We start from the raw sequence: 17,352 nt of genomic DNA on the forward strand, positions 1-17,352 counted from the left end.
AATTATCTGGTACTTTCCTACAACACTGTGTCTCCTATTGACATTTCAAATTTCATTTTGTTCACATATCTTATGTTTGTGTCTCCTTGATATGGATAACAATAGCTGGTGTAAGAGCTTATCTCCTTTTGATTCTGAAAATGTAATAAAGAAGGAAAATGCAGAGTAACAGCCACATGTGCCGGTTATTCAAGCAACCATCCAACTTCTGTATGAAGTTAATTTGGGGAAAATATGGTATGCACGCTGCAGCTCAAGCTCACTTGTGTCAAAGAGAAATACGAAAGGCAAGGGATGGTGCTACTTTGACAAGTACATGAAGGAATAAAGTATTGAAATAAAACAAGTGAATGTGGCCTTATGAGAATCTTTGTTTTACTTATAAGGCACAGCAGTTTCAAGAATATGACCTTGCTTAATATATTACTGTTTTTACTTCAAAACAACAGCATTTGTATTCTTATCTAACAATTTATGAATACAAATGACATGAAAATCATGAGATACTTTTACTCTTTATATTAATTTTTATTCCATTTACTCCACTTGGATATATATCCTAAGTAATCATCAAAATTAAATGAATATTTGAGGGAATATATAACATTAAAAGAACCCCTGAGAAGTTATGTAGTTCTTGCCTGACTCTAGGCAAATTTATAATATGTAAAGATCTTCTAAAGAAGAAATTCATATAACCTATTATAGAAACTCTTCCTTATTTCTAACTCAAATCTTTATATTTTATATTAAGCTTGTTGAAGTTTTTTCTTAGAAAATTTGTAATAAAACATCATATCATGTCTCTTTGGCCTATAGCGAATGAAAAAACCTCACAGTTAATTAATACAGAGATTTTAAAATTGTAGACCTCTAGAAAACTCATTTTGTTTTCTTTGGATTTTATACATAAAAGTAAACATTGATTTGTAATTAAGAGAAGAGAAGAATTCATGATTTGGAATCATTTTCTGTAAAAGAAGAATAGAATTAAAGATGTGGCACTATTTAAAATTAGAAATTAGACTTTTTATCCATGAAAACTCTAGAGAAATAATTTTGATTTTCAAATATGATTAGAAAAACTCAAACATTCAGCCTTGCCCTTTCTTTGAACTCTTTCTTAGGCTAACAAGTTCTTCTAATCTTATAGTTTTAGGTGCTGTTTATAAAATTGATAGTTGTACATTTATAGATTTTACAGAAATGTACTCTTTTTGTGGATAAGTATCTTTATGCCAAGTTTATTTGGCTTTGTGTGAATTACTGTTTGAAAAAAGACTGATCATTTTGTAATGAGTATCATTACATGAAGAGCTATTATTTCCTGGAAACTTTATTCTGCAGCCTCAGAATGTAGATCAGGGGCCCTAGCAAGTTAAGGTCCAGGCTCCTCATCAAGGTCATTTTCCTTTTCATACCACTGCCCTTTCCCCAACTCAAAGTCAGCCTAATGGTCAGAAAGGTTCACTTACAGGGAAAGAAAAGGAACAGTGCCTTCTTTACCTATGCCCTGCATAGCAGGTAACAATTACCTAAAATTCATTGTGGAGGATTGGAATATCCAAGAGTTTTAGAAACAGTTATGCTCAGACACCTCTGTGTGACCCTAGGCAAAGTGACTAAGCTCTCCAACGTATTGTCCTTTATACACAATAATTAAAAAGAGTCCTCAAAACATTATCTCTAAGATAAGATATGAAGGTAGTTATGGTTTTTCCCAAACTATTTTGACTTGTTCTTTGTCAGTAGCATGAGGCTATATTAAGATACAACTTTAAATAGTGCTTCATAAACAGTGGATGGCCATGGAATCGAATTAGTGGCTTGTGATTGGCATTTGAATAAAATAGAATAGAAAAAAATAAAGGATGTAAGTTACATCAAATGCAGCAAGGATTAGTATTGCTTTGTGAAACTTTGTATATTTGTACTGTGTATATGAAATTGTGCTGTAAAATGTATTTCTTACCGTGTGTAAAAGTTTTCCAAAAATGTTTAAAAGATGTCAGCCTACAGAATTGGACCATCTAGTACAACATGAAAACCCCCTAAAAAATACCACTCAAAGATAGAGAGCACAGACTGGCATTCAGCACCACTAGAAAGAAGCAGTGCAGTGATGATCTTCAGGGTCTGTGATTGCTTTGGGCAGTCTTCTTGCTGTCATGTTGCAGTAAGTAAGGTATCTGAGCTGCAGTCATCATGTGGGTGTAATAAGTAAAAACTCACACATGCCCATTCAGTTGGGCACTTGTGGGAAAAAAGCAAATAGAATAGTGTATCCTTATTTAGTATATGTAAGAGCTGTGTTTAGGTATCTTTCCTCAGAATTCATGGTACTATGATGACTGCAGAGAAAATTCTCTATATGTTTCCTCTACAAACTTTTACACTTGCTCTTTGGCATTTTTTTGTCAGCAACAAGATGGCAACTGTATGCTAATAAAATCCCTGTGCATCTACCTGCAACTCATCCCTTCTGATGGCTTTATATCTAATTACTTAAAGCCTGTATTATGTTTATCTGTTTTATAAAACAGAATATGAAACTGTCAGGCCTAAATTATCCTGAACCCCAATCTGTGAAAGGACACATAATGATGGGGAAAATATATTCCTTATCAGAACAACCAGGTGTTCTCAAATATTGACTGAGCTGCATAATCATTTGGGCAAAGTATATCTTGCAAGAAAAGGCAGTAATGTTCAAATTCTTGCATTTTTATTTTCCATGAGTTTGGTGTTTTCCTTTCAGAATAATCATTGTTCATGTTCTTGATAAAATCAAGTTGATGCATCAAGGCAGCTATCCTTGAAGATATAAAGCCTATGACATTAGGTCCTGTGATGTTGTTTTACATGTTGCTTACTGGCATGGATGCCCATTCAGAAATTCTGCTATTCTACTGGGACTCCATTTCTGTTTTTCTAGAAGCAACTGCACATCCATAGAATCTTTCTTCTGGAAAGAAAACCTTTCAAATAAAACACACTCTGCATTTATTTATTTTAAGCCACATTAAAATTTTAAAAGGCAAACAAAATTTTTAAAAGTATTTACATGAACCATATGAAATTGCTGATACTTTGGTTTTTTGGCCTATAAAAATGATGATTTCATATAGCCCAATCTAATATTACTTTTCAAAAAGTAATGTAATATTCTAAACCCAATATGCAATTGCTTTTAAGTATCCAAATTCTTTGAGTTCAGCTGGTATTAGAAGCAGTCTGATGCTCTTCCTCATTCTCATACTTAACAAATATTGTCCTAAGTTTCTGCTATGTTCAGAGTGCCAGGCATGTGGTAAAGAAAGAATAAAGCTGACACAACTTAATAATTATGAAACATTTTTTCTGATGATAGTATGTTGTTGGCAGAACAAAAAAGTTGTGTTTCCATTGCCTACAAAGTGACCCAAAACTTTACAACTCCTTCACATGTGTGGTTTTTCTTAAGCATTTCCTCAACTTCGTACTGCTTTTTATCGAATTCCCTGTATTTATTTCCTCCTGAGTAGATTCACCCTGAATCAACCTGTCAGTGTAGTTTAGTCTTTCCCAGATATTGTTCCCCAATTTTTAATGTAAGAATTAGCCTAGTCTTTCTGTGTCTTGAAACATTAACAAAGCACTTAAGTGAGCCTTTATCATTTCAATTGCACCAACCACGATAAATAAAACATTAGTTGTTCTCATATATTATTGTTCCTTCAGTTTTGAGGAGAGAATCACAAGTGGATGTCTATGTAGTTTGTCCCTTTGTAAGACATTCACTGAATAGTCTGCCTATTGTTCTGCCTAGCTCTTTCACATTTACTTGAGAAGTGTCATCATAATTTTTCTTTTTCTTTGTTTTCTTTTTCTTCTCCTTTTTTTTTTTTTTCTTTTCGCTTGGTGAGCATCCTTTGTTCTGAGGATTTTTTTTTTTTTTTTTTTTGAGATGGAGTCTCACTCTGTCGTCAGGCTGGAGTGCAGTGGCGTGACCTCAGCTCACTGCAACCTCCACCCTCTGAGTTCAAGCGATTCTCCTGCCTCAGCCTCCTGAGGAGCTGGGATTACAGACACCTGCCACTGTGCCCAGCTAATTTTTTGTATTTTTAGTAGATACGGGGTTTCACCTTCTTGGCCAGGCTGGTCTTGAACTCCTGACCTCGTGATCCACCCGCCTCGGCCTCCCAAAGTGCTGGGATTACAGGCGTGAGCCACTGTGCCCGGCCAATATTTTTGAAACGAATGTTTCCCACCATCAATATACCCAATGCTGCAGAGTTTCTGTTTTTTGTTTTTTTTCAGAGCTCTCACTTTGTTTCTCCAAAATTGGTCATCCCACCTGTGATTGCTGCACTGACGCTCCCCAGTCTATATGCTGAGTAACAGTAGGGAAATTCATGGAAGCCAGCGATTCTCCACCTTCACTTCACCCTGGATCACCTGGGGAGTTTTAAAAATACTGACACCTGGGTTTCACTCCCAAGATTCTGATTAAATAGGCCTGAACCAAAGGCTGGGCATTAGGATTTTTTTAAATCTCCCAGGGGGAGCTAAATGCACAGTGAAGCCTGAGAACCACTAATTGAAGTTTTAACAAGAATCCCCAGGCATAGCCTTGTGTCTTTGACCTCATTGAAACCAGGCCCAAACTTTGGAATAGGCTAAAAGCAAGTGTCTATATCCACTTTTAGAAACCCATTGTGGTGATTCATTGGCTACCATTTATTAAGTTTTTTCTATCTGCCCAAAATTCATCAGAGTAGAGCTCAGATCTCAATAGGGGTGAGAAACAATAACCATAATGGTCTTGAAGTCACTTTTTGGTATCCACTGCCAGATTATGCTACTCACCTAACAATTTGGGCAGCTTTCTCCAGAGAGTAATTAACATCTTTGTAAAGATGTAATCACCTGAAGCAGCTATATAAGCAACAGCAGTCTCAAGAGCTTTCATTTCTAGCAGCAAAGAAATTGTATTACAGTAGCATTTCGCCAGCATATCTTAGAACATCAGTGTAATCAGTATTAGAATGATGCATTGTAAGACTGAATAACAGAAAGAGATTAATTTCTATTAAATATCTACATCTGTTGGTTCCCCAAGGTAGATTATGCTGGGAAAATCTAATGGAGGATTTTTTTTAACCCAGCCTCCTTTCACTCCGTGCCCAATTCCTGCAGTTGTTGCTGAGGTTTACCAGATGGATTAAAAGAAAAAATAAGAAGTGGCTCCAAACATGTAAGCAATCCTCAATTCATTGCTGTTTGAATGAACTGTGGTGTTATTTGCATTCAGTCTTAATTTACACGGAAAATGACATCCTTTTGCTTAGAAACAAAGATAGTTTTCTTTTTCTACGTAACATTACTCACTGTAGGATCAAAAACTTGCCTGAAGTTTCTGAACCAAACTTATTGTTGTCCATAATGTCACTAATAACCCAGGTCTATCTCCATCCAGGATTGTTACAATAAGGTCTGGAGGTGTAATTATAGGTATAATTTGACCTCTTTTTTACTACCTTCATACAATTTACTTGGTTGAAAGATCTCTGTCAGCTTTTGCTGAACTTTATGCTTCGCTACCTCAGTGCATTAAGTAAACCATAAAAAGAGGTATTAATAGTAATTTTCAATGAATATAATATCCAGCTGCTCTCAAGAGAATCCCTTGATCACATCTATTGCCATGATTTTGCCTTAGAAAAATGTTACTAAGCACCGACTTCTCCCTTAAGGAAGGGTTGGTTTCAGGATTTTATAGGGGAATCTTGCAAAGACACTTTTGCCCATTGACCAGTATATTGAGACAAAGTTAGAGAAAAGAATGAGATGGGAACTCTGCTAGGTGTCTGTTCTGTTTTGTCAGAACTTTGTTAAAGCCGTGGGGAAGAGCTTTAAACTTCCCTTGATTGTTATTTTAGACGCTAATAGTCAAGGGTATTCTTTAAGGTTCTTAAAGTTCAGAAAGGCCACATTGACACTGTTACCTATCAATAATTAGGTTTCTAAACATCACATCAAACAGCATATGCAGAATGAGCCCAAGAACAGTACGATTTGAGGATGCCGTGGAGTTCCATGCCACACCCTACAAATCCATATATCTGCTTTTCCTGCTCAACTCTAGTTTACCAAAATACAGAAAACGGGTCAAATAAATCACAGATATAAAGAACACAAGTAAACTAACAAAAGCAGCCTGGGAAATGCAGTGCTTTAAAGGAAACTCAGAAACAGAGTTTGGATTATTCACAGAATAAATATAGGCCTGGTCACTGTATGAAGAATCTTTGAATGGTAAGTCATAGAAACCATGTGAGCTAATCTCAGTGATTTTTATCAAAAAAGACACTGGGCTATCTACAGAACCCAAGGAAGCATTAGGCTTTAGCATCTCAAAGAGAGAGGGATCAAAAGCAAATACAGGGAGGTCAGCAGCAGGAGTATGGTCTCCAGGTTTCTGGAAGTCTCTTAGAGGCCCAACAGCATATGCCTCTATATCTCTCAGTTCCAATTCCAAACTGGCAGGAAAGTTATTTGATTTTTCTATTTGGATAAGAGGCTCATCCTATATGAACTAGTGAATTAGCAATAACCAGGAAAGCTGTTCTTAGAACAAAAACATGGCCCGTGGGAATCATTGCTATAGACAGTGTCAGCAGTTCTCACTTAGAAGGACCTAGATAGATAACTCCATAAGATTCTGTTATGGCTATTTTCACAGAGTCCTTAAAATAAAGAAAGGTCACCAAAATATAGGGAAACTTATGTATCATGTTATTCCCAATGCCTTGGGCTTTTCTATTTTGGCTAAATTGCCTTATATTCTTGACAGCTAGATATTAAATAATTATGCCTTGAGAGTAGGTGGTAATACTTTGCTTTTAAAAATAGGGTTAAACTAGTCTGTAAGCAACCTTGAGTTTCTTTTCTCTTGAGTTTATAAGTGATACTTGAGGAGGAGCATGCACTGAGGGTATCTTCTGCCCTCCCAGAAGCCATCTATTACCCAAATTATGTATCTTTCCCCTTTCTTTCCTTCTTTCTCTTTCCTTTTTTTTTTTTCTTTTTTTGAGAAATGAGGAAGAAAACAGTGGAGTTTGGATGAGATGACGGGTAGGAAAGGCCGTGAGGAAGAAGAGACACATGGGGAAGGAAAGACAGTGTCTAGCAGAGAACACTGCTGTTAAACGAGGTATCCCCTCACCCAGCAGCCTCATGGAAAGAGAACCACTGCTTCAAGGAATAATTCTGGAGAAGTGAGACTGACTCCACAGTCACCCCATCTTTCTCTTAGTGATCCTGGTGCCTGAAATGACTTTACAAAAGCTCTGACCCTCAGTCCACATTTAAAAAGGAAAGACTGGATTCATTTAAATTCAAAACAAGTGACAAATTGGCTCCTATCAGATCTTTGCCCCAGATCAGGTTTTGGTAGATCTGAGAACAAATGAAACAAAAGAATTACAATAATCTGAAAAGGAAAGAAAGAAAGAGCAGGATCTGAGAACCCCCAAAATGACTCTTGCTTTCTTCATAGTTTGCCTAGTGCTGTCCTTGATTAGAAGTAATTTTATTTCATTTGCCTATGAAAAAGAAAAATATTGAAATTATGACCAAGCATGGAGATATTTTACAGATACCAACCTTTAATTTAGCTGAAGGAACAGTTAGGGCAAGAGCACAACAGTCAGGATTTGACATGAAACAAATTTCATTCATACTCATTGGAAGATAACCCTAAATATGTGAACTCAGTGCAACCTATGTGTGAAGTCTCTTTGCCAAGGAGCAATGCTGCTTGCTTTGTTCAGGGATCTGGATTATGAGCACTCTGAGAACAGAAGTCATGTCTACTGTGCCATGACATAACACCCAGCACCTAGCATAGGGCCTGCACATGGAGGCGCTGGACTGAGTAAGATTTGCTGAAAGGATATTAAATCATAAAGCAGTATCTAAACAACGATATGATGTTTGAGAAATCTTGGGAAGAAGTGTAGAATTAGTAGTGTTTAAGAGTGGGGACTCTCAAGTTAGATTAAATTGATTCAAATCATGACTGTATTCTCTAGCTTTGTGATCTCCGATTTGTTTACTCTCTCTAAATCTGGTTACTTTCTCTGCAAACTTGGAGTAATAATATGAGCTTCCTCATGGGATCATTCTTAAAAATGAATCAGCTTTTGGACATAAAGCACTTAGCACATCTTCTTTCACACAATGAGTACTCAGAAATATTAAGTACAACAAGTTGCTGTACAGCTATATGCAAAGTCCAGTGGAAATTTGGTCAATATCTTGAGTTTCCGTATTGACAGAAATTTTCATTCTATCACACTGATTACTGATCAAGGGATGGGTGAAATAAAGCGTGGTGATAAAAAGGTCTCGTTTGTAGATAGTAATATTGATGTTCTAGAACATCAATACTTTGGACCATGTCACAGAACATGGCTTATTTTAGTGCTCTGCCCTATCAACTAACCAATAAATAAATTATAAAATTCAAATAGGAAGCTCTGACTCAGCAAGTAATTTTTGGAAATTCATATCTCGTGTTTTTCATCTACATTAGCATCATTCAAGGAGCAGTAGCATGCTCTTGGCTGTGGTCCTAAGTGTTTTTGAAACTTCATTTGCAACATTCTCTCTAGAAAGGCAGCAAACAATTTAGAGGCAACATGATGGTGTTATTTGTCAAGAAGATTCTTATGTATATCTATAGTTTCACTTTCTGAGGGTTATTTTTAAAGAGTCTGGATCTTTGACGTATTTTTCTATTTTTTGTCTAAAAGTGGGAGACTAATAGTGCTGACCAAAACCAGGATAACCATGATGTAAACGGTTTCTGACAGCCCTTCTAATGACAAGTTCAATTTTGATTTATATCACCTTTCCTTTTCTTTTCTAATCCCTCCAGCCTGGAAGAAATAGTCTACTTTGGATGGAATGTATATCTATCAGAATACATGTGATTAATAGCAACTGGAATTAAAATAATCACACTCTCAATATTTGAATTTGTGTGTTTTAGAGAGGATAGGTACATGTAATGCAGGGTTCAGTGTAGCACTTTGGCCCACTGAATTGAGGTAATTCAGGAATCAGTCACTGTCAGTAGTTAATATATTCAATATTAGTGAGAATGGGAGAGGGGACCATCACAAGGTGTAGAAGCTTGCTAATATCCCTACAAAGAATTCATTAACTTCAATATGATGTGATTTGAGAGAAAACGTTCTAATCACTACACATTTTAAATAAGCACTTGCACTTAATAGGTGCCAGGGTGCCGATTATACAACTGGATATTATTTCATACTAAGAAATGCTAACTATTGGAAATGTATCAGTGAAGTTCATGGAAATATACAAAATGTTTGAAGTGTGAAATAAATGCAAACATTACCAATATTAGATCAGATTATATTAAATTGGATTGGGGCGTGTTAGAATATAGGACAGACAACATCTCTAAAGTAATTCAAAATTAATTCACCATTACTAAGCTGTGATTCAGCTGCAAACAAAATGGAAAGCAGAGTGCAATTTTTTTTTCAGCTAAGCAGTGGAAGGATTAAAAATTGTAAACTTCTTGGAAACAAAATACCTCCCTTGCTGTTTAACATAAGTGGTATTTAAAAATGACTTTTTAGAATTGCCTTAACTGCTTCTTTTTTTTTTTTTTTTTTTTTTGTGACAGAGTTTCGCTCTAGTTGCCCAGCGTGGAGTGCAATGGCACAATCTCAGCTCAATGCAACCTCCGCCGCCTGGGTTCAAGCGATTCTCCTGCCTCAGCCTCCCAAGTAGCTGAGATTTCAGTTACAGGCATGTGCCACCACACCCAGATAATTTTGTACTTTTAGTAGAGACGGGGTTTCACTGTGTTGGTCAGGCTTGTCTCAAACTCCTGACCTCAGGTGATCCACCCACCTCAGCCTTCCAAAGTGCTGGGATTACAGGTGTGAGCCACTGTGCATGGCCACCTTAACTTCTTCTTAATTTGAATACATAAAGCTCTTTATCCTTAAAGGGAAATTATAATTTGTCTGTATAGTTGAAGCTGCCAAGACTGAGGTTGGATTTCCTAATGGTGCCTTAGTCATTCATACACATTATTCTGGGGCCAAAGGGTTCCAATCAGTATTTTGTTTGGGGAAGAAACTTTTTTTTCATCACGATTTAATGAATTAAATATTGTGGCTAGACCAAGTGGTTTACCTTTTAACATCAATATCTGTTGATCAAATACCTGTATATTCAGTTTCTCCAAGAAATGCCAATTTAAATTCCCCCAAATATCGCTACTTAGAAAAACTAAACAAAAGCAATCTTAGCCACACTGTCAACAGAAAGTTTCAAATACATTGGATAATTGAACAGTGCCTTTCCAAGAATTCTGAAAGTTTACGTTTCTAATGTGATTGCCCATGGAATCCCTTATTTGTCCATACCTTAATTCATATACTATTCTAGTGTAAAAATTACAGCAAGGATAAGGGGCTCCAGGAGATTTCTAGTTTAAACTTTCAGTAGCTAAAAATTGCCATTATTTAACCAGTTTACCTATTTTACATGCTACATTTAATGGACTAAAATGATGATATTTTGCAAATTCTTTACACATTATGAAGTTCATTTCTTTTAAAAAAAAAAAAGCCCCTATCCTTCTAATGAAGCCACTGTCAGTAGTACAGTAGAACATTCTGAAGTTTCATCATTCAGAGATAATTTAGAGAACATTAACTTTAGTTCCTATTATTAATTGGATTCAAATATCAATACTTAGTAGTTTTCTCTTCCTTTAGGGCAAATTTTAACTCTTGTATAAAGAACACAGTTCAAACAACGCATTTAAGGAGAATCTATGACTAGGGTTTAGAAGACTAAAGATGTTACACTGCTCTCTCTACGATCCATTCTAATGGTTGGTAAGATCAGGTGCTATTAGTGACTATATAAAGGCTCAAGGAGTCAGCACACCACCATTATCTGACTAATTGCTTTGTGAAGTGCTTTTAGAAAAATTGGAACTGAAAGGCACTCCATACTACCAATTTATTTTCTGTTCTTAGTGTCAGTGATGCATGAGAGAACAGCATATTGTAAAGTGTGTTTTTCTGGTGATAATATTTTTGTCAAAGTGATGCAGATTTTAAAATACTCTCTTGCTGAAAGGTACAGACTTATCATCTGTTTTTCCTGATGTGAAGTTTATCTTCTGGATATTGATTTCTTCAACTTTCTTCACTCAGATAAACTAGTGTTTTTTTTTGGCACTTGCCTGGAATTTAAAAGAAGCTAAAAAGAGTACATGGATTAATTTCAGTGGTTGAATTAACTGAGAAGTTTTGCTTTTGGTGATTTCAGGGTTTTATAATCCTATTTTAAGAGCATTCTCTACTTTAATCATCTGCATGATAAAATAACTAAAATATTTAAGGAAAAAACACTGCTACAGTTGCATAGAAATGTTTATAGGTCCCTTTTATAAAAAAGTATAAAAATATAATGTTTGTTTCTCATTTCTTTCAAACAATTAAATCAATTTTATTATAGACTTACTACAATCCTTTGCTGTTTAAAAAAATTTGCAGAAATAACATGGAAAAAGTAAGCTTAAGCAAGAACAAAGTGCATCAATGCAACATGCTCCCTCCCCAGTCGAAAGACTATGAAATAAAAGCAATCATGGCATATGCTTGCTGCTCCTTTATTATAATTTTCATTTATGAACAACTTACTTGCTCTTAGCTGAAATTTCCTCAGTAGGAGGAATAACAGCGCACTTGTGATTTCAACATGAAATATTCCTTGTTTGGCTTTTTGCTCATTGCCAGTATTTTTTTTTTTATGAAGGAAAATTTTGCTTAAAATAATGTCTCATCATTTCACATTTTTAAAAGTTTTTCCTAATGAATGAAGTTTGGCTTTTGACCTCAATTTCGGTATCCAGGTAGGGAGCTACACCAAAAATGTTCTCATGCTGTTTTTATTTAAATTCCCTGAACTCTTGCCCTGAGCTTATTTCATTTATATTCCAAGTCTCCTCTAATTGTGAATCTAGTTTAGCATCACTAATGACTATGTATTCCTTGACGCTCAAATTCACTGAGTCACTCCATTGGGATCCTTCTATTGTTGTTAAGGAGATGAGGAGGTAAAATAAGGCAGAATGAGAAACATAGGAGCCCCCTACTTTGTTTGGAAATGATTTTATGAGATTTAAAGTTTTAAAAATATGTGTTATATTAAGATCAGTATGTCGTTTCCTTTTAAAATGAGTACAAGGATCTTTTATTTATGCAGCACCTTTCTTCCCTAAGGAGTGTTACAAACTATACAAACTATACAGAGTGCAGAAATCACTTGACCCACCACTGGAGTAGAACAAAGCAGCTGTTTAACAGATCACAACAATACTGCAAAATCATTTAAGAAAAGAATTCAATGAGAAAGTACAGCATCCCAAAGAATCTATAGGGAGAGTCAGAAAAAGCAGACTACAGTCTCTCAACTTAGAATTTAGCTAGGATATTCAAGCCAAACACTTCATTCCATTTTTTTCCCCTTAAAAATTGTAGTGCCTTTGATCCAGTGATTGGTATCTAGAAATTTAAGTGTTTCTATCACATGACATCTCCTAGACCTAGTCCCTTGGAAATTACTTGTCTAGAACTGATCCCCCCCACCACACACATACACACAAATTCCACTTAATGACTTGCAATCTTCACTCTTCTAGTGTACCTGCCTTCCTACCTTCATGTATCCTTTCCAAACACAGTCCTAGTCAACATTAGCAATATTGCAACACATATGTTATTTAAAACCCACAGTGGCGGAGTTGTAGCTTATCAAAAGCCTCATAAATATGAACAGGCACACACTTAAGACATCACTGCAAGATTAGAAAAAATTTAGAGATATTCAATGAAGTTAAGTAAATAATGTAGTAGTAAAATAAACCTAGTATGCATCATTGATTGGTTGTTGCTTCTTTGTTTCTGATTACAAAAGGGTATACTTTAATTCATATTATACTGCAGATCTTTCTGAACTCCAGAATATGATCTATTCATACTTGACACGTTGATGATGTAGTCTGTTTTCTCAATTTGTAAGTGTTGAACAGTCCCATTTCATTTTACATAATTCTATAGAAACTACTTCTACAAAGAAAAAATGTAGGCTTTGAAGTCAGATTACAGTTATTTTTTTTTCCATCTGGCAGGTTTGAATCATCACTGTCTCTAAAAGGATTAATTTCTTTTGTTCCAATTTAAAGCAACAATTGCCAGCATCTTGAAAAGTATCAATTATGTGGGAAAACAGCCATGAGCAGAACCATAAGAAAACAGTTAACCTTCGTCTTTAGAGTAACTGTGATGCCACTAATAATTCCATTTTCTATGTTCCCAAATATCTAATGACCCTCCTTTTTAAAAATCTAATACTCTATCCAAGAAAAGGTAATCACATTTAGTTTATATGTATAAGAAATGATAATGAAAAAACATTCATATTCACTGAAATTTTATTCGATTTACAGTTATTAGTGAAGCTACCAGTTGTCTAAAATTCTTAAAGGTAATGTACTTGGGCATTTTAAAGCATGCTATATTATTATTAAAAACAAATTATAAATATGAAAGTGATGACAATTGCAATTTCTGTTAAAGTAATTATAGCATGTAACTAATTCATCTAATTCTCACTGACTTCTCTTATGTACCTGATCAATTCCAAGATTTGGATATGAAGCACTGAGGACAGTCTTGGGAATTACTGAGCTCTACACAAATTTTGCCATTTTTATTATACTATCGTTTTCTTTAGTTGCATAAGTAATTGTATAAATTACTTTAGTTAGCATAAGTAATTTGAATGAAATTTCAATAAAATGTCAATAAAATAGCTATTTTGTTTTGTTGGCTTAGGGCTAAAGATAAGAAAGATTTGATGTTGCAATTGCTTTTGGATATTTTATTAGTACAGTAGCAATTGTTCATAAATACAGAGTGAAAATAATAATGCAATTTTGATACAGATGTGAGAAGACTCTAGACCAATATTTTGTATCTAATATGTCTCAGCTTCCTTTAAGTACTTTACCACATTTCATTTCACAACAACATTATCAAGAAAATATTATTTCCATATTTAGATAAAGGAAATGGAGCAGAAAGTGATTCAGTAACTTGCCCAGGTCACATGGTTATAAGTGATAGATCAATATAGCTAACTCTAAGATCCTTTCTATTAAACAATAATATTGGTTTGGTGAATAATATGCTCATATAATTTCAAACTTTCAAAGCAGAGTTTACACAAAAACTTGAAGCTTAACTTTAGTTGTATGAAACCCCAGGGTTTCATAGAAGGTAACTTGAAAACCATAATAGATAGCATCTTATAAAAAGATGCTTATTGTGTGGGCACAGTAAAACTTTCCTTTAGCACTTTCAGTCCTAGCAAATAAGGCTTCTCTGTGACTATGCTAATTTTATTTTCCTTAGCTATATGTGAAGTCAGCGGAGAACCTTATTTCAAGGGTGCATCCAACATGTGTTATAGGCCAGCCATAGACTTTAGAAAGAGAGTATTAATGAGCTCATAATATATCTGAACCTATTTATTAGTAATGTTTTTCATGATAATATTTTATTCATATCATGAAATTCAATTATATAAATATTTATTAATAGAAAGTATACCCCCCATGGATATTAAGAACATGGAATTTAAGGTCCCACAAACCTGGATTGCAATCTCAGTTTTCCTTTTGCTGGCTCTAGATCTAGGACAAGTAATTTTAATTCACTCATCTACAGTTTCCTTATAGGAAAACTCAGGCCAATAATAATGTCTATCTCAGGGCTGTTGTACATTAATCATGTATTAAATTAGATAGTATATGTAAAACACTTAATGGGATATCTGAGTATAGGAAGCCCTTCAGAAGTGATTTTATTATTTTTGCATATATAATAGCATTATTAGTGATAGATACTAGACATGGTCCTTAATATTAAATAGACACGGCCCCTACATAGACATGTAGGTTATGGACTGAAAAGAGAGGCAGTTAAACAAGCATTGGCCATGCAGTTTACTAATTACCAAGCCAGAAAAGAATTAAAATTGTCAGAGTTCCAAAAGCTTTCACTGAGTTCAAAAGTAATTTCAAGTTGAGAACTGGTCCCATTGAAGGTATATATGTCATGAGGGCCCCAGTCTAAACTCACATTTTCAAATTGTCCTTCCCACCATGGAAACACTTCAACACTCATGGGTTAGAATCAGATACCCAAAGGAGTATTGCCATTTGGATAGGCGCTCTGTTTGCCTACATTTCTTTTCCCTAATTGTTTTGCATTGAAAGTGTTTGGTGCACCTTTTAAGATGCCAAAAGACCACAGGCCTCATCTCCTAACAACCAGATGTGACTGTGAATAAAAAGTTTAGAGAGGCTTCTCATTCAAGGTTTTCTTCTAGGGAGGACCAAAATCTTGAAATTGACTAAAAATACAATTTCTATTTTAGCTTAGAGAGGACATGATGGCATTCATTACTTTCAGGATTTCCTGTCTCTGGCAGGCCAACTTGTGACCATGTATGAAGATCACTTATATCAGGTTTGGGAATTAAAGTATTAGATTCGGTCATCAAAGGAATGCTTGGTTAAGACTAGCCAATGGATCAAGTGACTCCTGTATGGCTGAAATTGCCAAGGCCAAAGAGTGGCTAGTATGTAAGAAGTGGTTCCCATAATATGTTGTCATTGGAATGCTCTATGAGGGGAAAAAGCAGAAGCAGCAGTGACTGTAAATGAGGTCTAGACAACAGGTGCTTTTCTTGAGAAACTGGTCATGTTACTAAGAATGATGATGATGATATATATTTGGCTTTTCTTATCTTTTGGCAGTCAGTAGGGATAAGTATTTGGTGCCATCTTCTGAGAGCCCCTGAAATGACATCTGTCCCATCTGTTTTATTTATTTGTGTGTGTGAATTTTTTCTTTTGTTTTGGGTTTTGTTATCTGAAATATACTATGTAGGATCGTTAGATATTTGTGAGAAGATATTCTCGGAAAGCTTCAGAGCTTTGCGTAGTAAGTCTGATTGCAATGGGGGAAAAGGGGAGGATCCTGCAACACAGTTCCTGCTTTCTCCACTATCAGCCATGCTGATGCTTTTGGCAAAATGCATTATGATCACACTTAATTCCTTTGAAACACAGTTTGTTAATGGGTAATTAAGATGTCTTGCATTGATTATTGACTTTGGTTGATATATAGCTCCTGATATTTCTTGCTTTGTAAATTTTTTCCAGCCACTAGCAGAGTTCTAAAGAAAGAAGTAGGTCTGTATCCTTACAAATATACCCCTAAGCTCTCTGCCCATTAACATTTCAGTTTATAAGTGTTTTCAATGTGAAACTATTCACAGTTACCTTGTTGGCCATTTTTCAGCAAAAGGGCCACTCCTGCTGCTGACAGGCATGACAGCCAGCCAGGAGAAACTGGGCATAGAGGAGAAGCAAATCTCCCCTCAAAATTATGTGAGGGGAAATTATATGACTAAATATAGCAACTGTTTAAATTCATCCATAATTCAAGATTTTATCAAGTCCCTCCTCCTCTGTGATGCTTCGTTAAGTACTCCAAGCCATGTTGACCACCTTGTCCTCTGGACTTTCATGGCTCTTAGTTTATTCGGGTATTTAAAATGAAAAGTAAGACACATTAGTCATTGAGCACATGGAAACTATTTTCCTAGAGGGTGAAAACATGCATGTTTTATGTGATTATTGTATTTTTTTGTAGTCAGCTTCATTACCATTATTAGGAGATTATTGCCTGGATCAGTCCTGACCAAAGCTGTTTAACCATCATGTGGTAATAACAGTACTGCAGGAACTTGATGCCCTTAAGGACCTCTATGTCAAATATCTAGAATTTACTTTTTCTTAATTTAATAGATCATTTGAACTCAGAAGTTAGTGAACGGTTAATTTGGGAATGGAGGACAAAAGCTAGATCATACTTATACCCTTTTTTGTTCCCATACGTCAACCTTCATTTCCTGGGAGGTGTCAAGAAAAGGCTTTGGGAGCAGAAGGTGAATAGTAGATTTGAGAGCTCAATTCTCATTAGAGAGGTAATGAAATAATTTCAGTGCAAAAGTTCATCAAAGGCAGAAGAGTATGTGGGAAGTAGATTCTGAGATAGGAAATGCATGTGGATAAAAAGTATGAGTAATGGCCCCCTTCAGTCATTCGGCATTCAACTACAAATGCTTTCTAAGTGTCTGGCACTGGTTTTAGGAAGCACTTGGAGATATAGT

General features: G+C 35.4%; 1 protein-coding gene and 1 long non-coding RNA gene across 16 annotated transcripts in view; one reads left to right on the top strand and one right to left on the bottom strand.

Annotated features, from left to right (window-relative positions):
* SYT1 (synaptotagmin 1) overlaps positions 1 to 17,352 on the top strand; it is a 588,027-nt gene that overhangs the window by 126,630 nt on the left and 444,045 nt on the right. For 2 of the 14 annotated variants that reach the window (NM_001415940.1, NM_001415943.1), the window contains exon 3: positions 5,148 to 5,236. The exons of the other annotated variants lie outside the window; for them this stretch is intronic. The gene's annotated coding sequence lies outside the window, so the exon portion shown is untranslated. The remainder of the gene's footprint in view (positions 1 to 5,147; positions 5,237 to 17,352) is intronic. 14 annotated transcript variants of the gene reach the window in all.
* The window catches only part of LOC105369863 (uncharacterized), a 197,856-nt gene that overhangs the window by 85,588 nt on the left and 94,916 nt on the right, over positions 1 to 17,352 (bottom strand). The gene's annotated exons all lie outside the window — the stretch shown is intronic.

The sequence above is a fragment of the Homo sapiens genome, chromosome 12, assembly GCF_000001405.40.
Source record: "Homo sapiens chromosome 12, GRCh38.p14 Primary Assembly".
Classification (NCBI taxonomy): domain Eukaryota; kingdom Metazoa; phylum Chordata; class Mammalia; order Primates; family Hominidae; genus Homo; species Homo sapiens.